Source organism: Homo sapiens, chromosome 5 (genome assembly GCF_000001405.40).
Source record: "Homo sapiens chromosome 5, GRCh38.p14 Primary Assembly".
NCBI lineage: Eukaryota > Metazoa > Chordata > Mammalia > Primates > Hominidae > Homo > Homo sapiens.
The window spans coordinates 65,286,438-65,312,750 of NC_000005.10; the positions used below are offsets into that span (position 1 = coordinate 65,286,438).

Sequence of the window (26,313 nt, forward strand, 5' to 3'; positions counted from 1 at the left end):
AAAATAAGCAGTAACATGTACAACACACTATTATGCATTTATGTGCTAACATTTAAGTCTATGTAAACAGTGACAAACTTCATAGACAATAAAAATTTCCCATAAATAAACAAAGCTATGATGTCTATAAAATTTCTTTGATTTTGTGGTCTTAAATCTACCTGTAGATGAACAATCAGCTCTTAATAATTAACAGTAAATTATGTACTGGATATTGTTAACCTATACTGAACCATTAAGTGTACTGGAAAACAATAATTGAGATTTGATTTAAGTGACAGAATAAAGAAATAAAGAGCTAAAGCTGAGGCTGAGCCTTGAATTAATCTATGCTTTTTGGGAAGCAGTCAAAAGATTACCCACAGCCCCTACATTATATAGGCTCATTAGTGACTTCCTTCCTACGTTTAAACTTATTGTTATTACTGCAGTATGCTTTTTGATAATTCAGTTTTTGTAATTCTTTTCTAATAAAAAAGAGATTAATGGAAAATGGAAGAGACAACAGATTCTCCAGAGTTTTACAGGAAAGAGCTTATTACTCTAAAAAGCCAAAGAAACATTTCTTGGACATACTGATACTGCTGTTTTATTTGCAATGTATTTTCATCCAGGAATCATCCAAGGCCCCTTAGAAACCTACAACAGAGCTAGCAGATATTTTTAGATGATCTGGTAAGAATCTAGCTTTGCAGGTACCTTGAAGACGTCCTATCTTTTTATATAAGGTAAAAGAAAAGAAATTCACTTAAATCCAGGACTCAAGAGTTTCAGACATCTGATAACTTATGACCCTAAAAAATGACTTTAGAGAAGGTCCCCCGACCACCTCTCCCCCAAAAAAGACGGGGACAGGACTTTAGAGAAGATTTTTAGTAACAGACATTACCTGATAAAAATTTAATAACAAGTGTCTTGTAAAACAAAATACATCTGCTACCTGTGTTTCATTAACATAATTACTATTCCTAATAGAAAACAGAACTGACATCAATTAGGACTTTATTTATTTATTTATTTACTTTGGAGTAGGTATATCACATTCTGTATTTTTAGTTTCCTCACCTATAAAATATTATATAATAATTATGATTTGTTTGTTTGTTTTTTGAGATGGAGTTTTGCTCTTGTTGCCCAGGCTGGAGTGCAGTGGCACAATCTCAGCTCACTGCAACCCCCGCCTCCTGGGTTCAAGCCATTTTCCAGCCTCAGCCTCCCGAGTAGCTGGGATTACAGGCATGTGCCACCACGCCTGGCTAATTTTGTATTTTCAGTAGAGACAGGGTTTCTCCACGTTGGTCAGGCTGGTCTCGAACTCCCAACCTCAGGTGATCCACCTGCCTTGGGTTCCCAAAGTGCTGGGATTACAGGCGTGAGCCACCGTGCCTGGCCAATAATTATGATTTTTATCAACTCAATCTGAAGTAGCTCAGAAAAAAAGTCACTACATAAATACCAGAAACTATATATCATTTATAGAATACTGCATTATACAACTATATTACTCTGTATATTGTACTGTACTGTTTTGTTCTTTGTATTTACAGCCATTACAACCTCCTCACAACTTCTATAGGAATTTAAGAACACTTGAAAAATAAGAAAAGATGATATGCAAGAATAATAGTGAAAAATGTTGCCCTGAGTAAAATAAAACAGAAAAATTTTCATGTAAATTTCCAAACATAACTAACATGTATATTAATGAACCTACTCACTAAGAATTCAGGCAAGATTTTTCATAACTACAGATGTAATCATTGGTAACCCAGCAATGACTACTTTATGGCCAAGTGGAAGAGATGGAAAGCTGATCACTTCTGCAGTATAGATCCTTCGGTAGTTCTTTTTTTTTCTTTTTTCTTTTTTTCTTTTCTTTTCTTTTTTTTTTTTTTAAGATGGAGTCTCCCTCTGTAGCCCAGGCTGGACTGGAGTGCAGTGGCACTATCTCGGCTCACTGCAACCTCCGCTTCCCGGGTTCAAGTGATTCTCCTGCCTCAGACTCCTGAGTAGCTGGGACTACAGGCGTGCACCACCACGCCCAGCTAATTTTTGTATTTTTAGTAGAGATGAGGTTTCACCATGTTAGCCAGGATGGTCTTGATCTCCTAACCTCTTGATCCACCCACCTCGGCCTCCCAAAGTGGTGGGATTACAGGCGTGAGCCACCACACCTGGCCCATTCTGTAGTTCTTTAAAATCTTTCCTGACATCATGAGAGACCTGCTAGTTGAAAGAGGAATCATTTCATGATTTTTCAACACCAGATGTATCTCCTCTCAAAAATTCTAAAATATTCTCCTAAGTCTACAGCAACTGTATTTAGTGTTCATTTCAGCATGCTACACTTAGACAGCTACCTAAATCAGGGCTGGTTTGTTTTTCCCTTCAGCTGCCATCTGAAGTATGATTTGCTTACCCACTGGACTCTGACCTTTGAAGCCACTATTGTTTTCCAAAGTAGTATTTAGAATTGTTTAAAACCTTAGGGATTCACCAGATATAAACCAGCGTAGATTTGTGTAAACCGACACAAGTTCAGAGGTGGGAGTGATTGTAAAGAATCAATTATGACTCAATACACTTTGTTAGTAACATATTGCACTTAAACAAATAACACAAGCATTTTCATATAGTATATGAATCTAGGGAAACCATTATTTTGCTACAAATCAAAGTGAAAAGGATTCACGATAAAATACTTAAAACTGTGTAGGTCTGTAAGATACTAATGTCTTTCTCAAAGTTTTCCAATTTTAGTTTGTATCTATTACAGAAGTCTTTATAAACAAAACATATTAAGAATATAAAGGCAAGCCACGCATGGTGGCTCACACCTGTAATCCCAACACTTTGGGAGGCCGAGGCGGGCTGATCACTTGAGGTCAGGAGTTCAAGACCAGCTTGGCCAACATGGTGAAACCCCATCTCTACCAAAAATACAAAACAGCCAGATGTGGTGGTGAGCGCCTGTAATCCCAGCTACTCAGAGGCTGAGGTGAGAGAATAACCTAGGAGGTGGAGGTTGTAGTGAGCCAAAACTGTGCCACTGCACTCCAGCCTGGGTGACAGAGCAAAACTCCATCTCAAATAAAAAGAATATAAAAGCAGAATATCAGGAACATAAAGTAAAAATATATAATTTTGTATTCTTTATCTCATTTCAAATCAATTAGTCTGAACTGAATTAGATATATAGATATAGCAAGAAGAATTAAGTCAAATTTTTATTAATTTATTTGAGAGAGAAAAAGACTATATCGTGTAGCCATAGATTCTATAAAACTGAATAAATTATCTAATGTAGAAATTTGCATGTAGAGTTAAAATCCAGTTTCCAATAGAAAACAAAAATATAGATTATTTCACTTGCTAACAAAGAAATGAGAGACATAGATATGAATAATCTAACAGAAATTTTCTAAGTTCATTTGATCATGAATTTCAATGTATTAATCCGTAAGTATATATAGAAAGACTATGATTAAAGTTCGACTGACTTTTATTGAAACATAAACAACCTAAGAACAAAAGAAACTAGAACCATACAAAATAAGATTAAGGATAAGCCAAAGTTTTACACAAGGTTCTACATATCATATAATCACACACAATCTTTCAAGCTAGTGCACAAATGTGCTGCTAAAGCCTAACAAGAATAATAATAATATACTTGTCACCAAAGAGATATTTAAGAAAACACTTCCTTTTATTCTGTACCTAAAGAGGATACATACAGTGCAATGATACAGTACAATACTACCTTAACCCTTAATTATTATTATTTCTAAAAGAGGATTTAAAAGACTATTTGCATAGAAATAGAAATCAGGCCAGGCGCAGTGGCTCACACCTGTAATCCTAGCTCTTTGGGAGGCCAAGGTGGGCAGATCACTTGAGGCCAGGAGTTCGAGACCAGCCTGGCCAACATGGCAAAACCCCGTCTCTACTAAAAATACAAAAATCAGCCGGGCATGATGGTGCACGCCTGTATTCCCAGCTACTCAGGAGACTGAGGCAGGAGAATTGCTTGAACCCAGGAGACAGAGGTTGCAGTGAGCCAAGATTGCACCACTGCACTCCAGCCTGGGCGACAGAGCGAGACTCTGTCTCAAAAAAAAGAAAAAGAAAAAAAAATCAAGGCTCTCAACTTATTTTTTAAATCTGAATTTTTTTGGTAAGCAATTTGACATATTAAAAACCAATTTTTTCATTCACTATGCTTATATTGTGTTCTTAATAAGAACATGTCCACTAAAATCTTGCTCTATGAAACTTAAAAAGAATTTTATTCATTTTCTGATGTAGACACTGTGACTTTTTTTTAAGGCAGACATGCAGAATAAATTATGATGCCTACATTTTTTTTTCTTTCATAGCAATTTTCCTTGTTTCACTACTTGAGCTAATGTCATCTTGTTCCTGCTTGGTTGTGGTGCTGGAATGTGGGCAGTGGATGAAGCAACATGAAGTGACTTAGCACTATCAAGTAGGAATAAAAGTAAAGCTGTCTAGCTAATGTAAAAATGCCCTTTAGCTCAATTATAAGAGTATCAGAAAAGTGGCAGAGGGATTTTAAAGCCATAACATTTCAAAAGACGAAATAAAGTTGGCATCATAAATTCAAGATTTAAAGAAAAAATATATTAAGAATTACTAAAATTCTACCTGCATCCCTCACAAGAAATCTGTAATGTGCTTAACTTAGGATTATTGAAACATTTAGAAAAAATATTGTACATATGATGTCAGAAAAACTGCAGTGTCAAAAGCCATATTTAAATTAAAGATATTACTAGAGGGAACCGACATTCATCGTAATTCCATCTTAACATCTGTGTCATGGAAGAACACGTATAAATGACGAAACATAAGGATGAAGACTTCTTACCCCATATTTACATTGGCGGGAGGTTGCTCCATACTGGAAACGACATTGCTCATCAGCATCATACACCTGACCTGGGGCCACAGCTGGATAAAGAAAGTCACGCTTGGGAGGCTCATTATCAAGGCAAGTACCACGGCCTGAACTGTTCAACATAAAGGATCAAAGGAAATTAGGTATTCTATGGGCTATTTTAGTCACAATTATGAAACCACGTGTTGAGCTTTGTTTTAATAACTTGACGCATGAAAAACAATACATTCTCCCAATAAATAATCACATGGCAGAACAGAATAGCTTTACTGAAACCTGAATAAGAGCTCCAAATAATTCATTTTAGCACCAAGACACAATAAAATCATTTCAGACAACAATATGAAAATGTCACGTTGGCCTTGATTTAAGCTAATTTCTCAAGGAATCAAAACAGAATTTCATATTGCTCTAAGCTTCTTGTTTGTTTTTATTGAAAATATAACCACATCTGGTAGTAGAATTAAAAACATGAAATGCAGAAAATTAAAAAAAAAATAATTATGGTTATAATCCTTAAAGACCTAATTTATATAGTTCCACCTTGGGCAGAACAATAGATGTTGTGTTAAGGCATGTCCATAGGTTCTTGAAATATTTCACTAATAAATGGGTTGAATGACAGATGAGGCCAACGACCAAAGTTTTCCTCTCAAATATATTAGAAGTGTTTAGTCTCTCAAAAATTTCATATTTCATCTAGAATCATCAGAATTGGAAAAGAGAATGTTCTCTTCTTTGTATAATTTCTGCGTTTCAAGCTATGCCTGCACTCAAACATAATATTTTAATTCAGTAGAACAAATAACATAAAGGTCGCCAAAACCCAGACAAAATACCTTAGTTTAAAGAGCTTTAAACTTTGCTAAATATAATTGTTCATTTTTATTTAGTCAGTGTGCATAAAATAGGACAGATGCTTTTTTACTTTCATTTCACATGTGAGTAAGTTAGAATTTTTAAAGAATTCCTATGCCAACATTTAAAAATTTTTTCCAACATTCCTGTCCATTGTGCCAGCACTTGTGTTTTTTTTTTTTTTTTCCAAATCTTTTCCATCCACTTTGCCAAAGGAAAATAATTTCACAAGTAGAAGTTCCTCAACTGTTATTTAGGACAGTACAATTTTTCATTTATAGATAACTAAGAAAGAACTATGCATAACAATGACTTTGCTATTCACTTAAAAGTTTCTCATATTCTTAACATGTCAAAGTCAATGTGTTCTATAAAAAGGTATGTTCACACACAGCAGCAAATTAATACCTTTTAAAAACTGAACCATACTATTCCTACGGTGATATAGAGTTAAAGACCAAAGAGACAGACTACTGTCTTCTTTATATCCTTCTCCTTTCTTTCATGCCCTCCTGATTTTTTAATCAATAAGAAATATTTAAAAGGAATATTAAGTATGGTACTAATACAGATGGATTTTACCACTGGCTACTACAATCATTTCATTTGTCACTGCTCAAGGTATCTAACTAACTAACTAACTAACAAAGAACAAACTTTTTTCACCCAGCTATCCAGTTTTCATAACAGAACACTTTTTTATTTCCTTTTTATTATACTTTTAGAAATTGACATGTACCTCAGCAAGAAAAATTACCTCTAGATGAATTTTTTAAATAATGCTTTTTTGGCTTTATTACGTAAAATATCTTTAATTTATAAGGATATGCAAACTTTAGGCAAATGTAATGCTACTAGTAAATCTTAAATTATATATTAAGGTTAATGACAAAGAGGTCATATTTGAATAGTACAATGGAAAAAGAACCATTTTGATTAGGATATTGGTGAGATAACTGAATTAGTAGTTTAATTCCCCAATTTTCTTCTAAAATATCTGTTTCATTTCTACTGACAATAAAATTATAAATATCTTTATGAAAGGAATTAAATATGTAATAAAAATAAAATAACAAGTTAAGTACTACTATAAATCTTTTTTATGGAAAATATTTATTTTAAATTGTGTACTGAAGTAGGTATCCAATAGGCAAAAAATATTTACAATGGCATAACCAAAAAAGTGCAGGATATATTCACCTAAGTGACACCAGCTTTTGGTGACACCAACTTATTTTATTTAAATTTTAAAATAATTACTTTTAGTAATACATAAAATTAACCCAGAATCAGAGGAAGAACTGTGTAGATCCCAAAGAAGAATTTAAGAATAGATATCCTGAGGAAAAAATTCTTTTCTGATGGCAAATTGGAAACTGACTTAACCCAGAAGGAAGCAAGAATAATTGCTTCATCTAAAATTATTGTTTCAATATATTAATATTAGTGGTTTTCTAATCATGGTTCATGTTCTTTAAAAAATACCAAACCAGAGGACAACTGCAATGGCCTTCACCCCACCAAGAATGCCATGAACTGCAGGCACCTGTGGTCAAAACTCTTCTAAGAAAGTTTATCCCAAAAGTGTATTTTTGTTTTAGTTCTCTGGAAGCACCTATTGCTTTGTATTAATGTAGTCTAGACAAGTCTTGTTCTCCTTTTCCAGTACATTTTTACAGAAGAATAAAACACCATATGAAATAAAATATAAAGGAAAACCATATGGATCTTTAAAAATGAACCAGCATTTAGAAACATGGAATAAACAAAGGACTTTTGAAATGGATTTGGCTATATTTGTACAAATTAGCAAGGCTTACAAGTCAAGTGTCTTCCAGTAAAGCAAATGTGGGGATGTATCTGCAAGGTGGATTTAAATTGGTTGTACATTTCTACACGTTTACTACATGTGTAGTACATTTTCCTTCTAGTAACCATATCTGGTATATACAGTAAAACCTTGATTTAAATATTTGAGGGATGGGATAGTTTTCCTGTTTTAATTCTTTTGTTTTTGTTTTAAGATGGGATCTCGCTTTGTCACCCAGGCTGGAGTGAAGTGGCATGATCACAGCTAACCGCAGCCTTGAACTACTGGGCTCAAGTGATCCTCCCACCTCAGCCTCCGGAGGAGCTGGGACCAGAGGCATGCCTGGCTAATTTTTGTATCTTTTGTAGATACTGAGTCTCACCATCTTGCCCAGGCTGGTCTAGAACTCCTGGTCTCAAGAGATCTTCCTGCCTTGGCCTCCCAAAGTGCTGGGATTATAGGCATGAACCACTGCATCTGGCCTATATTTTAATTCTTAACTAAGGGTTAAGCAAGAAAAATGCTTTTTGAACTATGTTAACCAAAATTTGTCTGCTACTTTCCTGCTATGTTCAAGTAACTAAAGCCTATAGATGATAATTATTAGTTACTAATTAATTCTTAAAATAATTCTGGATATTTTCATGCCTCTGAGTCATCAATTACCATTATGAAATATTACAGATATAGATACAGAGGTAGAAGACATAAATGTGAGCAATGTATATTTAACCCTGGGAGTGCTTTTCCTTACTTTTTTTCTATGAAAATTCTCAAGTGCTTTATTCCAGTAATATCCCTCATTTCCCCCCACCCCCAAAGGTAACTACTATCCTAACTTTTTATAATAATAATTTCCTTGTTTTGCTTAATAATTTTACTGTCTAATTATTCATCTGCCAGTTTTGAGACTTTATATAAAAGTAGTCATACTGTGGGTAGTCTTTTGTAACTTTATTCTTTTGCTCAACATTGTGAATATGAGCTACTTCTATGTTGATGTGTGTAAATCTAATTGTAGCCTGTTCATTTTTATTGTTCTTTAATATTCCATTTATAAGTATGTCACAGTTATTTATAATTCCTCTACTAATAAACATCTGGATTATTTCCAATTTCTAAGAATTGCAAATTATGCTGATATGAACACTTTTTGTATGTCTCCTGGTATAAATGTGTAAATCTATTAGGTCGGTGCAAAAGTAATTGTGTGTTTGCAATTACTTTAATGGCAAAAACCACAATTACCTTTGTGCCAACCTAATATTTCCTTTCATAAAATATTAGATATAAGTTGTCTTATAGCTAATTGAGATAAAACTATACAATTCTTACATGTCCAGTGTTATTTATGCTACTATCAAAATTATAATAGCACTGTAGTGATATTATATACAAATCTTCTCATCAAATAATAATTTTAAACATAGATGGTTTGTATGTTGGTGTAATACGCAAATTTGTCCACTCAGAAAACATGAACCTCACTCATTATTAAATGTAGAATAGTGTTAGTCTCCATCTATGTTATGTAGTTACAATTTATTATTAAACATATACTTGTCAGATCAAAATTGTACATATAAAAAGTAGACCTGTGATTATTTCCCTAGCAGCATATAATCACAACTAAAAACCCAAACCCTAGTTAATATCGACAGCAACACAGATAATTATTGAATTCCTAGACTCTATTTTTGTTTACGCTTCTAAGACTAAGCAAAAAAATACATTAGTTTTAGAATATACTTCTCCCTTGATTATGAAATTCACAGTAAATCAAAGTATATTTACATTTCTCAAAATGTTTGCAGTATGATGAGAAAGTCATATTTTATGAATTCTACTTCTAATTTAGAGAGGTCTTATTTACATAATCCAAAAATTAGCCTTGAATATAGGAATATGAGTTACAGTTCGGTCATCAGCAAAAATTTACAGATCCCTATGTAAAATATGCACTCATGGCTTTGTTTCCAGAACACATTAGGATATACTCTTAATTGTGATTTTAGATGTATTTTCACTATAACAGTTATACCATAAAATATGAATTTTAGTCTACAATACAGTGGGTCAATCTAAAAAAGAAATCTTTCTATATAACCCTGTATATATCTTAACAGTCTCTTAACAACAACAACAAAAAGTTAACACTTAATGCCACCTCCTATTTTTATTCCACTAAGTTGGGCTGATTCACATAAATTAAGCAAAATAGAATTGGGTTGATATCATCTACAGTAAGTCAACTGTCTTACGTACTATAGTCTCATAAACTGCTTTGTCAGTCTTCTCAATGAAGCTAACAATGTACTGCCTTCTAAGGCAAATCTTTTTCTCTCACCCTTAATATAACTGAGCTTGAAGCTTTCAAGACACAAATACTGTATTGAGAATGGTTTACCCTTTTCCCCCTATATGTAATTATGACTTATCAAAGTTATTATGGTTAGAGTAAGGTTACCCAAATGTATCAGATAAACAGAAGGAGGAGAAACCTGTTTTGCCAAGCTCTTAGATTCTACATTTTTTTAAAAAGGTCCCATCTATAAAGATTGTTTTTTATATAATAGTCTGATGTTGACCTTTGAAGGTCATTGCTAGAGAGGAAATGTAAGTGCTTTGGTCATCTTGCTCATCTTATATCAGTTCTCTTGTAGATCTACAATCACCTTTCTTCCTAGGTCAACTCCGACTGTAACATTGCTTCTCTTAATACGTTCAGCTTCCATTCTTTCTGTGAAAATGTCTACTCTGTATTTAATTTGGAACTGTAGGAAATTTTGCTATGGATCTTTGACAGTTCAAAAAAGTTAACAGACTTTAATTTTAACAGAGCAAGAGTTGATTCACAGAGCCCCCATAATTTTTGAAACCTTTATGAAATTATTCTGTATTATTGCTAAGTGGTGGAAAATGTATGAAAAACTGGCTTAAATTACTTCTGGCTGTCTTCCACTGCCTGGTAAATTGGTCCATAGTCATCAATGAGTGTGAGCCATAATACCAGGTTCACCTTTCTCTATAGTCTAAATAAATAAATAAATCAGTCCCGCAGGCAGATAGGAAAGACACTACCTGCAAAGCCGTCGCCGGAAAACATCAGAAGCTGGCATAACACGTCCATTTTAACGGAAATGGGTTCTTTATTATTTAATCAGGACGGCTTCTGGGCGATTCATGAACCACTTATTGAATCACCGAGTTTAAGAAATCTGAAAAAAAATATTGGGAGTTGGTAAACACCATCTCCTGATTGATCAATAGCATCTAGTGTTTTAGAATGACACGAGAGACTTTGTATTCTATTGGCCATGGAATAGTTTTCAGTTGAACATAGTGAATTGTGAATCTCTATAAATCATAGAAAGCTCATTGTTAAAATCCACCATCATCTTTGGCCTATACAGCTACTAAGTAGAGAAAGGTATGCGTTTTGTTGGCTGGGCTGCAGTTCCTAAACAATTCATCTTTCAAGATTCTTTTTCTTGAGAAGAGAAGCTAAAATAAAATGTTATGAGCCTTTTCTAGCCAACTATAAAACATAAATGTAACCTCAATCCCTGATCAAAATAGCACTGGATTTTAAAAAATATCACGCATAGCTGTTAAAGCAATTAAGTTCACTGCATTAATAAAAAGGAACAAAGAAATTCAAGAAAGTTACTGTTATGTCTTTGTGCTCCGGTGAACTGACCTTTTTAAAGAGCTTTGTGTTTAAAAACCCTTTATTGCTTGGTCAGATTATAATCAGATTTGTTTAGTTTTATTATTAAAGAGGAGGGAAAGCCAAGTTTTCCCCAAGTCTCTACCCATTGTGCTTCACATCTATCTTTCATTAATAGTTTTAACTTTGTGAGCATTCCCATGAGGATGCACATGAGAAATATTTTTATAAAATACAGGACAAATAAGCCCATTAGAACACTGTCAACACTAATCATGCTTACACATACATGCTATAAAGCTTAAATAATGCTTTTTGGATCAATTATTTTAATTAATTCAATGGAACACTTTATTGAAACTAGTAATACTTTTATGTCCCTCACCAAACCAGTGGGTGATTTTTAAACTGCATTTTACCAGCAATTTAGGGATTCCCTTTTGGAGTGTCTTAGCCTCAGTATGCTTTCAAGTAGACAAGATCTGGTAGAAGATCACAACTGGTCCTTGTATTTAGTATACAGAGATGGTACTAGCAAATGAGCTGTGCAATATAGCCAATGGGACAGACACAAGATAAAAGAGAAAAGAAAATGGTACAAAAACAAAACAAAACAAAAAAACAAACAAACAAAAAAGATAAGAGCAACCATCAGAAATGCACAGGAATCTTGAGCATGTTATACAGTTTGTCTTTCTGGTGATGGACATTAAGACTCCATTATAAAAACATAAGCCAAGTCAAGGGAGAAATTCCAGATCTGACTTGATGTCTAGGGAGAGCGGATCTTCAAAAATGTTTAAAATTTAGGTAAATGATCTCATTAAAACCATCTTAGAAAATGATATTGCTAGTGCTTTGTATTAAGAACGACCAAAAGATATCTTACAAATGCTCTGTGGTCTACCTTTATAGCACTTCAATCAGTTTTCACTGTAGGCAAGTATAATCTTATAATTTTCTGTTACTAAGATTAAAAATTATTAGGTTATAATATGGTTATCAGAAGAACTACCTTCTGAAATAAATTTCAAATTCCTTCAACTTTATTATTACATTAAAAGAGCTCATTTTAAACATTTATCTTTTGATTTGTTTTTTAATAAAGCATTGTGCTAGGTAATTTAAAGTCTCTTGTTTGTGACCTTTTAAAAATATCTAATCATAGTTTTCAAAATATATGCTCTGGCTATTAGTAGATATGAAGGAAATTTTAATAAATAATGTTACCCTATGTAACTTGTTTGAATTTTTAAAATTTTACAATATAATCATTTTAATATAAACTTTGAACAGAGCCAATTTTTAAGAAGAATTTCCATTGCTGGCCTGTGCTTTATGTATACCTTACTTTTTCACAGAGTATTTAATTTCTCCTCCCTAAAGAAAAAAATGGCACAAAACAGTTAAAAATAATGGTAAAGCAATAAAGCACTGAAATCTTGATATTATTTAAAATAATATTTACCATTTAAAGAATGTCTGTTATGTATTTTATATACATTATAGCATGACATATAATCACATATATAACACCTGATGACATAAACAGTATGACTTAAATTCATTTAACAACTTAGGACACTGAAGATTAGAAAAGTTAAGGAACACGCACTTAGAAAGTGAGACCCAAGTCTATCAGTTTCCAAAGTACAATCCTGAAGCCCTATGCAAGTGAGATGTGGAAGAACATCTGATTTTCTTAACATAGTTATACCTGAGCTAATTTGTATTCTTCACATTTAAATAACCAGACTCTTGGAATATACATTAAAGGACCAAAAAGTTCTCAAACTGTAGAAAAATGGATCGCTTAATACACTTTCAAAAACAAATCTTTTTCTCAAAGTGTTCATTTCCTTGGTGTTTGGTTTTTTTTTGTTGTTGTTGTTGTTTGTTACTATTAGATACTTTGGCTTTCCTATAGAACTCAGTTTTTTCACTGACAAAATAAAATATGTAATCACTGAACTCAAATTTGGCCTATGTGCTATTAAATCATGCAAATCTGAATGCTTTCTGAAATTGTCTCCCATTTATTAAACAATTGTAACACTCACACCATCAGTCCCACTTACATCCTTACTCCACTTCCTCTATTCTATAAATTCTATATGAAGAAAAAAAAATTGCCACAATGATATATTAAAGTATTTAGGAAAAAGTTGAAACATCAGTAGGCCCTATAAAACTTACTCATTATGCAAAGTTGAAAGCACTACATGTTAGGCTTCTACCAGTGGCTTACTTCTGGAGCTATTTATCATCACTCTCCAGAGATTACTTACTCTAGAAAGCTGGTGATGTAGTCTCGACTGCAAGCAGACCAGGAAAAAGGATTGGTATTCGCAGTAATGTGAGCTGCCATAAGTTTTGCTGCTTCATGACCTTTCGTCCCACAAGAATTTCCAATTCCATCATGGTTCATACCAAAACTGTTTTAATGAGGAAGAAACATAGAATAAATAAATAAGAAAAAAACCCCAACACATCCCTTATTTCCTTATTTGGCCATTTATTAGCCTTATCAACATATGCCTTCCATCAGGATAGGCCAGATCCTCTAAAGAAATTTAGGATTAAAATTAAAGAGACTAAGGAATAAGGAATACTTCAGTGATACAATACATGTCTAAATCTCTTTAAATGTAATCACATACTCTCACCTGTTATCGCACGTTTCAATTTCTCTTTGAGCCGAATATATTGTATATCAGTCCTTACTTTATAAATTAGAAAACAGATTTAGCAAAGATAAACGACCTGCTAAAGATCACACAGTTTGTCAGTGTTGGAATTGTTAGCAGAACCTGCCTTTTAACATGTTAGTGTTCATCCTACCTCACTATGCTGAATCCAAAAGAGAACTACAAGAAGATAGCTATGATCAGTTGAGTTTTAGGATATAGGCCAAATACATAAGTCCTTTTTCTTTTTCTTTCTTTTTTTTTTTGAGACGCAGTCTTGCTCTGTCGTCCAGGCTGGAGTGCAGTGGCGCGAACTCGGCTCACTGCAAGCTCAGCCTCCCGGGTTCACGCCATTGTCCTGCCTCATCCTCCCGAGTAGCTGGGACTACAGGCACCTGTCACCCCGCCTGGCTAATTTTTTGTATTTTTAGTAGAGACGGGGTTTCACCATGTTAGCCAGGATGGTCTCGATCTCCTGACCTCGTGATCTGCCTGCCTCAGCCTCCCAAAGTGCTGGGATTAAAGGCGGGAGCCACCGCGCCCGGCCGTAAGTCCTTTTTCTCATTAATATTAATAAAAGAGAATTTAACACACATGTAATTTGTGGTCGTTTGTATGTGTGTTTCAAAACACCTTTTGAAAACCATTGATATACTTAAGGATTTTGGTTTTTATCGTAGCCTCCTTCATTTTTAAAATATTTTGTTTGTCATTTTTTTCCTGTGTTATATAGCCATGCTTAGTGCTAACAATGTGATCTAAAAAAACATTTTAACAATAAAAATGTTTTTCTGAAAAGGATATACCCACTACATACCATATATATGTGTATGTGTTTATACAATGTATGTGTATAAACAGATTACATATACATTTTAACGTTTCTTCACAAGTAACCAGAAGTTTTGGTTGAATATTACTAAGAAAATAAATTTATGTGTCTGTTACGACATATATTCTAATAAGTGCACCATGATACGTGTTCAAGAAAATGTCACTAGAGTGTAAAATAGATGAGGATAGTTGCTGGAGAAAAAGTCTGGAAAGGTAGTTGGGAATAGGTAAGTACAAGATAATTAATAAAAGTAAATATTAATATGAGTCCTCTTGGCAGCATAGAAACAGGGAAGACTTGTAAGTAAGAGCAATGGAAGATTTCTGAGTCAGGGAATATGGAATTGATCTGTCTATTAGACAAGTAATTATAGTAACTCCATGGTGGAGATCCTGAAGTAGGAAGAGAATGGAACCAGGGGAGTAGTCAGAAAATCATTACCAACTGAGAACTGATATTGGTCTGAACGAGGGTGCCGGATAAACAGGTAGAATTAGATTTGAGACATGCTTAGGAAGCACAATGAACTGACTTTCATAAGTACAATATAAAAAGAGCTATAATAAAGACATATAATATGTCCTCATAGGCCGGGCCGGGTGGCTCACACCTGTAATCCCAGCGCTTTGCGAGGCTGGGGCGGGAGGATCACCTGAGGTCAGGAGCTCGAGACTAGCCTAGCCAACATGGTGAAACCCTGTCTCTACTAAAGATACAGAAAAAATTAGCCGGGGGTGGTGGTGTGCTCCTGTAGTTCCAGCTACTCAGGAGGCTGAGACATGAGAATCACTTGAACTCAGGAGGCAGAAGTTGCAGTAAGCTGAGACCATACCACTATACTATAGCTAGGGTAACAGAGCAAGGCTCTGTCTCCAAAAAAAAAAAAAAAATATATATATATATATATATATGCACATATAATATATATTTACATATAATATATATTTATATGATATTATACATATATTATATATTTATATGATATTATACATATATTATATACTTATACATATAATTATTATATACATATACATTATTATATATTAATATCTAAATTATATATAAAATATTAATATATAATATATAATTATTATATACATATACATGTATATATTATATACATATAATATGTGTATTATATGTTATATGTAAATATATATTATACATAAATATATATATTTTTCTCCCAGCCCCATATATGTGCATATACACATATTAGGAAGAGCTAGTAATTCAGGTGGAGGAACAAAAATAAGCAAAGAAAGAGAAATGTATGAGAGTATCCAGAGCCCTAAATTAAAACATCAAATAACCTTCCAAGAACACCAATATTTGGTATTCTAGTCTGACCTCAACACAGTGGAGTAAGTCTCTTTGAATGGTCTTCAAGGAATGTGAAGGTGAAGTTTCAAGTGTGTCAAATCAAACATATATTCTGTCAAAATAATCAACTATGGATTCACATAAAGACCTCAGTAGTGTAAATGTGTAATGTTTCTTATTTCTCTGAAAGGTTGATGCTACTGTGTTAACACTATGATTCTTTTCAAGTAACGATAGCTTTAAAAATACTATTTCCTTTTAGTGGCAATTTTATACGTATCCCTGTTTCATGTTAAGATAGGTGTGTAGACAGGCTCAGATGGCTTTAAGAGAATCAATTTTGAGATTCTCGACTCCTTATGCACTCTTTTCTAAAAAAAATCAAGCTTCTACTTTTAAAATCCTATCTCCTGTCTTACAAAGAAAGGCATATCTTTCACCCATCTATAATTTTATAATAGTGCATTGCCTTGGAATATAAAAACATGGTGCCAAGAAAAGAGGCAATTGAACATTTGTGTCAATGTTAAGAGAATAACTTTTGATGGTTGATTTTAATTAAACCATATCAGGTAGTTTCCAGTTCCTCACTTTTACCAGGTTTGCAGGAGCATATAATCAAATAACCAGCTGATCAATGGTTAAAACTATTCTTTGATGATAGATTCCCATGGTTATATTTTGACAAATAATTCAAAAGGAGTTCAAAGAGTTGAGTGGTATTTCTATAATAAACTCCTTTTATCCCTGTCTACTTCTTATGTGAACAAATTTTCTCAGCATTCACATCTATAGAAATTGAATTGATGCTGAAATCCTGCCTCATTATAGCAATACAGAGATAAATGCAATAATTGAAAAAATACATCCAATTAATGATATGTCTTCTAATAAAAACTTTACTTATGTATTTATTTATCAAAATTTGTAATATGTATATATTCTTCCAATCAGTCACTGAAACTAATAATTATTGTAATGTAACGAACATTAAATCCAGAAGAAAATTTTCTTTCTGATCATAGAAACAAATTAATAAACTTTCATATACATGTTTTTGCTGTAGAGATATATAATACAGTATATAATTTAAAAATACTCTTAAGCATAAAATATCTTTTAAAATATATTAGGATATATTAAAATATACATTAAGATAAAGTTCTAAAGGGGAATGAGCACATTGAATTAAAAGAGGGGAAAATGATATAAATTTTGACTATAGAGCCAGTTCATGTATTTTTTAAATGCATAATGGTAGTTACCTAATTGCTATGGCATTTAGATTAAACTGCATATACTTAAGAGAGGGATATATCAATTCTATTTTTAAATAACAATATCTGCAACACTGGAAATTCTATCCTTTGCAATTACTTAGTCATAAAAAGAAAAATTTTGGACATCAACTGAAAAATACACAATAAGGTACATGATTTTTAAAAAATCAGATGTATGTAAGCCAACAGATTTTAAAACCAATGAACTCAAGTACTGAAGGAGAAAATCCTGAGTTTTATTTCAATTAACAATCTTTATAGTTTAGGTGTCAGATGCAGATAGTTATCTCAAGGATTTAGATGCAGATAGTTGTCTCAAGGATTTAGGTTTTAGTCATCTAAGAGAATATATACTTCTGTAATCTACATTTCAAACATAAGAAATCCCAGAAATGATCTGGCAATGTCAAATAGTTCACTTACAGTGACACAAAGTACAATGTTAAGTTTACAACTGACATTCATGACATCAGCTTCAAAAGATCCCTGTAATAGGACGTTCAGGCTGGAGTATAAAATACATTTCTTTTTTGGCAGATGTATACTGTGGAATACTAAGCAGAAGTTAGAAGCAACAAACAAGATAGATGTCTACACATTAATATGAGTGGATCTTTTTTGGTGCAAGGGGGCCAGGGTCTGGCTCTGTCACCAAGGCTGGAGTGCAGTGGCGCAATCATGGCTCACTGCAGCCTCGACCTCCTGTGCTCAAGCAGTCCTCCCACTTCATTCTCCCAAGTCGCTGGGACCACAGGTCTGCAACACCAAACCTGGAAAATTTTTAAATTTTCATAAAGACGGGATCTCTCTATGTTACCCAGGCTGATCTCAAACTCTGGGCTCAAGTGATCCTCCCATCTTGGCCTCCCAAAGTGCTGGAATTGCAGGCGTGAGCCCCCATATCTGGCCTATATGAGTGGATCTTAAAAACAGCAAAAAAAAATTAAGAAAGGGAACAAGATCTTTAGCACTACACCACATAAGTAAACAAAAGTTACATACAGAATCTTGAATAACAAAAAAGTCTGAAGAATTATTCCAGATTAAATACTCAAAAGATAACAAGTAAATGCAATGGAAACTGGATTAGGGAGAAAAAAAATGCTACAGAAAACAAACATTGCTGGGGACAATAAATGAAATTGGAGTATGAACTGTATACTAGATAACAGTAGTGTATCAATGTCAAACTTTCTAATTAGACCATTGTATGACAGCTATATAAGACAATATATTTTGTTCTTAGGAAATACATGCTGAAATGTTTAGGAATAAAGGATATAATGTCTACAACTTACTCTCAAAGAGATCAGAAAAATATTATGGACATATAAATAGAGAAAGATAAAACAAGGGTTGCAAAATCTTTACTATTTTTGAATCTGGGTAATGAACACATGGTTAATCTTTCTACTATAGCAATATTTCTGTAAATGTGAAATCATTTCAAACTTAAAAAGTAAAAAGTAAACACACATGCAAAACAACCTGCAATATTTTACGAGGATACATAGGGATTCAAATATACATATCAAATTTATCTGAGTAGCTGTCTATGAGAGGGGATAAGTGGGACTATAGAAATATAAAAACTAATAACAGGTATTAAACAAGAAGGGTCCCTGCTTGAACTGATACTGATAATGATGCTGTGCCTTGAACTAAGTATAGATAAATAGAGAGAAAAGAAAACTAATTCAACTCTCTGCTGTTGAGTTTCAAAAATAATAATTTAAAAAAAGAAGAACAAAAACAAGAACAAAGGAGTGTTGGCAAACCTCGGGCCCACCCCAATGGATGAACAGTGGGTAACAAGAGAATATCTTCATTGCCAGTTTTATGTGTTTAGTAAACATTTCAGATTACCTTGAGTTAATGATTCTCATTTGTGGAGGGTTTTAGGAACACGAACACAGAGACAGAGAAAAAGTCAGAGGGACACACACACACATATGCACACATGGAGACAGACACACACATATGCACACATGGACACACACACACACAGGCACACATGGAGACAGATACATATTGGGAGAGACAGTCGTCCTTGGGCCTTTTGTGATCCTCCACATCTTGCTGCAGGTGCCTGATCACTTGTTCTTTTACTCAGGCCATTTGTCCGGGTAATTTTCAGAGATGAGGTAACATCTCTCCTCTTGGACAACGAACAGGTTAACTTATTACTTGCCATAAAAGTGGTAGATTCCTTAAGCTCTGTGTTTCTCAGTTGCAATGCAAACTCACTGCGTGTGCAGCATTTATATGGCCCATATTGTGTCACCCTTGTGGAATTTGGGGCCAAGGGGAACCAATGTAAATATGTTGATGCTTATGATGCTTGCTGTACTGTAATAACATCTTTTGCCTCTGACCCAGAAATATCATGTAGCCAGCATTCATGCAGCAGTAATGAGTAACATAGACTATTAAGAAGACATGAACTCAAAGGTTGTGATTTAATAAAACTAATAATTTTGCTGCTTCATCAAGGACACTCTTAAGTGAAAATGGCATGGGTTTTATTGTGAGTGTATGGGAGTTACAAACACACTGAATACTGGCATGGCTGTCTTGATTCATGCTAAGGTGTCAGCATTTATTCCCGCAATTGCTTTTGCACAATCAGTGCAAATATCAATATAATTTTTTTTTAAGGCAAATGAGGTGTTAGTACTATTGTGAAACTAGCTTTGATCTGAAAATGCCTCAGACATCCCAGGGATCACTGCTCTAGGATAGATGTGCAAAATAGATTTTTGGGTCATAAGTTGTGTAACATTTCAAATTTACTAGACAATGCCAAACAGCTTGTCAAAGTGATTGCACCAATTTACATTCTCACCTGTAGTGTGTAAGAATCCTATCTGCACCACATCTTCACCAATATTTAGTATTTTCAGATTTCTTAATTTGTGCCAAACATAGTAGGTATAATTTGCCTTTATCTGAATATTAATTAGGTTGAACATCTTTTTATACGCTTATTGACATCTCAGATGCCTTCTTTTGTAAAGTGTTCAACTATTTGCATATTTTCTATTGGAGTATTTGATTTTATTAATTTGTAGTTCTTTATATATTCTTGAAACTGGACTGTGTCAGTTAAATGTGTTTGACTGTAACACAGTAGCAAATATCTTTTCCTCCACTGTGCTGTTTGTTTTATGGTATCTTTTGATTAAACTCTTCATTTTAATGTGGTTGAACTGGTTAATTACACATTTCATGTTCCTTATGTCTTATTTAAAAAATCCTTCTTTACCCTAAGGTCATGGGGATTTACTTCCATATTATCTTCTGAAATCGTTAATAGTTTGATTTCCACATTTAAGTATTGCTGGATCCTATGTTACAAGTATGCTTAGTTTTATAAGAAACTGCCAAAGTGTCTTCCAAAGTGGCTGTTAATAATAAATTTTTAAGCCTATGTGTATAGCTTGACACTGAATTCCATTTTTACTAGTCATCCCACTGAGCAAAAAGTATGTTTTATATTTCATTTTATTCACTGTACCTAGCATATAAACAGTCTAACAATTGGTGATGAAGGCTTAGAGGTTTAGTGAAGTGAACTGAATCTCAGTGGAGGTCGATTTATTTCATTTGGATAAACTGAGGAGACTCACGAGGTTAAAATGCAGACCTAATCAACAGTCTCTTATAAAACGTAGGATCCAGAGGATCTGCCATGAATTCCATTTTCACTATGATGAACTTTGCCCTTTTTTCTGCCCGTTTGTTCCTGCAATTACCATACTGAAGTTATACAATTCACATATACAGCAAGGCTCCACTCTGCTCATGGGATCAGGGACCAATTTCATTCATTGTTAGAGAGAATTTAAAGGGATGGAGGTCATTAGCTTTGTAGAGCAGCATTAAAATATGGCATGTTGTCGGTCCAGTTCTATTCCAGTTTTCAAGTGAATTCTAGTAGTTAGGCTCTGGTCCTGTTTCTTGTGAACAAGACACTCTTTTATATCCCAGTCTGAGAAACTAAACCACTTGTCTAGTTCCCTTGCTCCTGAGACTCTGAGGTCCTGGCCAGTACTTCATTTCTTTTTAAGCAAGGATCCCATTTGACTTTGGGGTATTAAAGTCGCAGCCTCCCTTGTTCTCCAACCTCTGGGACATACACTTACAGCAATCCACAGGACTTCCATGATGTTGACAATTTCCTGACTGAATCTTTATCTAAGCTCTGATGCCAGACCAAACTAGTAAAGTTCTCATAATGTGAATTGGATATAATGTGCTTAGTTCATTAGTTAACATAATTTGCTTTAACTAGACCCCTGTTGGTTATACAGCAGGGGGTACTGGGAACTAGACCAACTTCGAAGAAAAAAATAAAAAGCCTATGTCTGTAGCATAGGAACACATGGTTGCTTTAGTCTAGGTACTTCACTGGAGTGTTATTTGGTTATGTGTGCTTTTGTTAAGAACTACTGGTGCCTATGCATTGTGCTCCATGTAAAAATGCCAGGTCAAGGCCAAAGAAATAGAGAAGACAGTGCTAGCGGAGTGTGACTTATAAGGAAAAAATGATGCAATTATGTTTGTTCTGTTAGGTTTGATCGAAACCTTTAATCATTTAATTTCTGTAGGAAAACTAACTATAAAATTGTGAACTGGAAACTGGCTGGTAATCAATTTTTTTCATATGCAAGTAATACTTTTAAACATAATTTTAAATAACATAGGATCTTAAGAATTGCAGCTATTCCACTATAAGGGAAAAAAAGACATTCTATTTATTTGGCCTTATCTCATCACCTGTCCTATCCAAAGGTTTCTCTCTTCTCTGGAGCATAACTCTCCCTGGATGGCCCTACCTAGGTTTTTACATTACCTTATATAAGAACAGGTCTTCATTCAGTGCATGAGAAAACACTTAGGAATCATGTAAATTTCCTGCAAACCCATCATCAAGGCTGAATGAATAAGCAGCTTAATTAAAATTCTATCAGTTTTTTAAATAGAAACTGACACTAAGATTCCAAAATTAATATAGGAAAGTAAAGAGTCAGAAAGGGCCAAAATCATTTTGAAGAAGGAGGGGAGAACTTCAATACCTATTATAAAACTATGGTAATTAAAAGCAATATGATATTGGCAACCTTTTCAAGGAACAACAATAAAAGCCCCAAAACAGCAACGGGACAATATTAATGTTTGTTAAATCTGAATGGTGGACACATGGATGTGTGATATAACAGTGGTCCCCATCCTTTTTGGCACCAGGGACCAGTTTCATGGGAAGACAACTTTTCCACAGACCAGGGTGGGGTTGGTGGCGGGGGGGTGGTGGTTTCAGGGTGATTGAAGCACATTGCATTTATTGTGCACTTTATTTCTATTATTATTACATTGTAAGATATAATGAATTAATTATACAACTCACTACAATGTAGAATCAGTAGGAGCTCTGAGCTTGTTTTCCTGCATTTAGACAGTCCCATCTAGGGGTGATGGGAGACAGTGACAGATCATCAGGCATTAGATTCTCAGAAAGAGTGGGCAATTAAGAACCCTCGCATAAGAAGTTCACAAAAGGGCTCTCGCTCCTATGAGAATGTAATCCCTGTTGATCTGACAGGAGGTGGAGCTCAGGCAGTAATGTGGGCAATGTGGCAGTGGGGGGGTGGGGAGGGGGCAAAGGGGGCAGCTGTAAATACAAATGAAGCTTCCCTTGCTTACCTGCAGCTGACTTCCCACTGTGCGGCCCAGTTCCTAACAGGCCATGGTTGGGGACCCCTGTTATAATACACACACACACACACACACACACACAGAATATTTTAAAAGAAAGTTTCTATATAGTTAAATATACATACCCGAATATATACAGAATACTTTGTTCTACAATTTGGCAACTGATTTCTCCTCTCAGATTAACTACACAAGACAGCAGACTTGGCTTTGTAAATTGATTTGGTTCTCAAGTTTTGAAGCTCATTCTTGGAACCCTGAAAAAATTTGCTCTAAAAATAATGGTATAGCTGGGCACCGTGACTCATGCCTATAATCCCAGCACTCTGGGAGACTGAGGTGGGAGGATCACTTGAGTCCATGAATTCCAGACCAGCCTGGGCAACTGATATGGTTTGGATCTGTGTCCCTGCTCAGATTTCATGTCAAATTGTAATCCCCAGTGTTGCAGGTGGGGTGTGTTGGGAGGTGACTGGATCATGGAGGCAGTTTGGTACCACCCCCACTTGGTACTGTCTTTGGGACAGTGAGTGAGTTCTTGTGAGATCTGGTCTTTTAAAAGTGTGTGGCACCTCCTCCCTCTCTCTCTTGCTCCTGCTCCCGCCATGCGAGATACCTCACTTCCCCTTTGCCTTCCTCCACGATTTTAAGTTCCTGGAGGCCTCCCCAGAAGCCAAGCAGATGCCAGCATCATGCTTTCTGTACAGCCTGAAGAACCGTGAGCCAATTAAGTTTCTTTTATTTAGAAATTACCCAGTCTCAGGTATTTCTTTACAGAAATGCAAGAGTGGATGAATACAGCAACAAAGTGAGACCCTGTCTCTACAAAAAATCAAAAAGTTAGCCAGGTATGGTAGCACATGCCTATGGTCCCAGCTACATGGGAGGCTGAGGCAGAAGGATCACTTGAGCCCAGGAGGTTGAGGCGAAGTTAGCTGTGTTCATGCCACTGCACTCTAGCCTGGGTGATAGAATGACACTGTGTCTCAAAAAAAGTTAGATTGAATTGAATTAAAATAATGGTATAAATTGTTATTTTATCTCTGAGAATGGCTCAAATAAGCCTATTTAACCTATTTTGCACACTAAATCATTGTCTGTGAAATGAAGAATAGTATATGACAATACTGTTGGCATTAGCAATTTAGCAGAATGAAACATATTTTAAAGTTTTCTATAGAACTAGTGGTATTTAAAGAAAAGCAGATTTAACAAGGAAAAGGTAAATGAAAATAACTGAAGAAGTTCTAAAGGGGACTTTTAAGTATTATCAAAAAGTTCTATAGGTAAATGACTCTGATTTTATTTTATGTTCAAACTTAAAATTGTGTGTTACTTTTCTTCATAACACTACACATCCCTAGCCTAGTAATTTTGCTTTTTGTTTTGGCTCATGAATGCAAGCGGGTTAGAGGAAGTTGCTCTTGAAGTAACTGATCAAGAGTTGGAGTAAGAAAAAGAGAAAAGTGAAAAAAAAAAGATGTTCTTCCAGGATAAGACTTTTGTTTTCATCATCACTATATCCACAATGCACAGTATCCCTTGTAATCATCTCAGTAAATCTCTGGAATTAGGTGCTCAGCAAATCTCTGAATCCAAATAAATTGTGCATCAATGGGAGACTATCTGCTGACTAACTGTAAACCATGAGAGGCAGAATTTTGGAAGCATCATATGTGTACATACCTCCCTTAATGGTGGATAATGTAATAAAATATATAATACTATATAATAAGTAATAAAAGGGTAAAAGGGGAGAGTTTTTGGTCAAAACAAGTGGCATCATCAGTCAGAGACAAAGTGGTTACTATACAGAGACTGAGAGAAATTGTGCCATAAAGGTTATTCATTAAATTAAGCTTCTGTAACTCAGCATGTATCAGTCTATTGACATGCATGCTTTTCTGAAATATTTTAAACATTAAAGCAGATCATTTTTTATGCAAATGATATTTTCCTTTGAAATGTCATTTAACAAAACAAAATTTCCTTACATAGGGTAAAAGCATGCTATTATAAACGACAGAATTTATCATACCTTTTCATTTTTTAAGATATATGAGGCAGCCCATTTGTGATCATATTTTGTGTCATTTCCTCCTATATTATATGATCCCCCCTAACACTGTGAAAATAACATAATGCATTTTGTACCACAAAATAATAGCTTACTCTTGATTTAGGTACACAATTCTTATTGGTTCTGTTGGGAGATTTGTAAGAATGGAAAGAGCAAACATAGCCTACTGAGTGTAAATTTAATTTGCATTTAGTCTGGAGATTCTTTTTAAAATCATAACAGATGTTTTCAAACCAAACAGAAGATCTGTATAGCGAAGGAAAATCTTAAAATGCCTCGTTAAATTTTTCTGTCTAAGCAATCTTAATTTTTAAACTGAAGATAATCATGTTGCTAATATATCAACATCATTGTTTTTGTTAGATAATCATAGTACTTTAAACTCTGTCAAGCATTTTGTTAAACAATCACTAGTACATAGAACATGTACTTTTAAAGTCTGCCTCCAAAGGAAAAAATAAATAGATGATCAGTCAGTTCTTCAAAGAGATAACACACATAAAATTACCAGATTAAAGAACAGTTTCCTCATGCTGTTTAATATGATTAATTTTTTCTTTAAGAAGCAACTTTTTAAAATGATGAGACAATGATAGTCTAAACTGTGCCACTGTAAAAATCTCAAAGTTAAGCTTTCCCATTGGAGCAAAAAAAGAAAGAAAAGAAAAAAAACCAAGGGAATAAAAGGACATTCTTAATTTAGAATGATTTTCCATTAGAGAACTGTTCTTATACATAACTGAGCTTGACTATGAATCACTTGTTATAGTAAAGAAAAGACAGAATTTAAGGGATGTACTCAGTCAGAACCTTCTATACCCACATCTGGCAAACATTTTTAGATTTAGTATTTACCCAATAGGATAATTATTACAATTTGCTCATGTGTTTTCTAAAACAGAGTTTGGAATTTAATTCTACTTTTGAACTTTATATGCAATCTACTTTAAAAAGTGAATTCAAGATACTGAACTTAGGTAGGAATGTATTTAATAAGGGTGGTGCCTAGCAGAATCTAGGACCTAGACTCTCCCCATACCATACACAATAATGATCACATTTGGTATAAGCACTTCTGAGTTGAAGGTTAAGTTTCCAATAGTCAAAGAAAGTACCATAATTTATTTATATCTT

General features: G+C 34.2%; 1 protein-coding gene across 15 annotated transcripts in view; it reads right to left on the reverse strand.

Moving 5' to 3' along the window:
* The window catches only part of ADAMTS6 (ADAM metallopeptidase with thrombospondin type 1 motif 6), a 333,183-nt gene that overhangs the window by 137,700 nt on the left and 169,170 nt on the right, over window positions 1-26,313 (reverse strand). For 12 of the 15 annotated variants that reach the window (XR_007058575.1, XR_007058576.1, XM_011543117.3 and 9 more), the window contains 2 exons: window positions 13,548-13,694; window positions 4,892-5,033 (listed from right to left, as the gene is read on the reverse strand). Coding sequence is in view for 12 of the 15 variants with exons in the window: in XM_011543117.3 (XP_011541419.1) it covers window positions 4,892-5,033; window positions 13,548-13,694 (289 nt within the window). In the remaining 3 variants the exon portion in view is untranslated. Of the gene's footprint in view, window positions 1-4,891; window positions 5,034-10,670; window positions 10,808-13,547; window positions 13,695-26,313 lie in introns of those variants that run through there. The other 3 variants (NR_135689.2, XM_011543125.2, XM_011543124.3) reach the window with 3 other exon arrangements.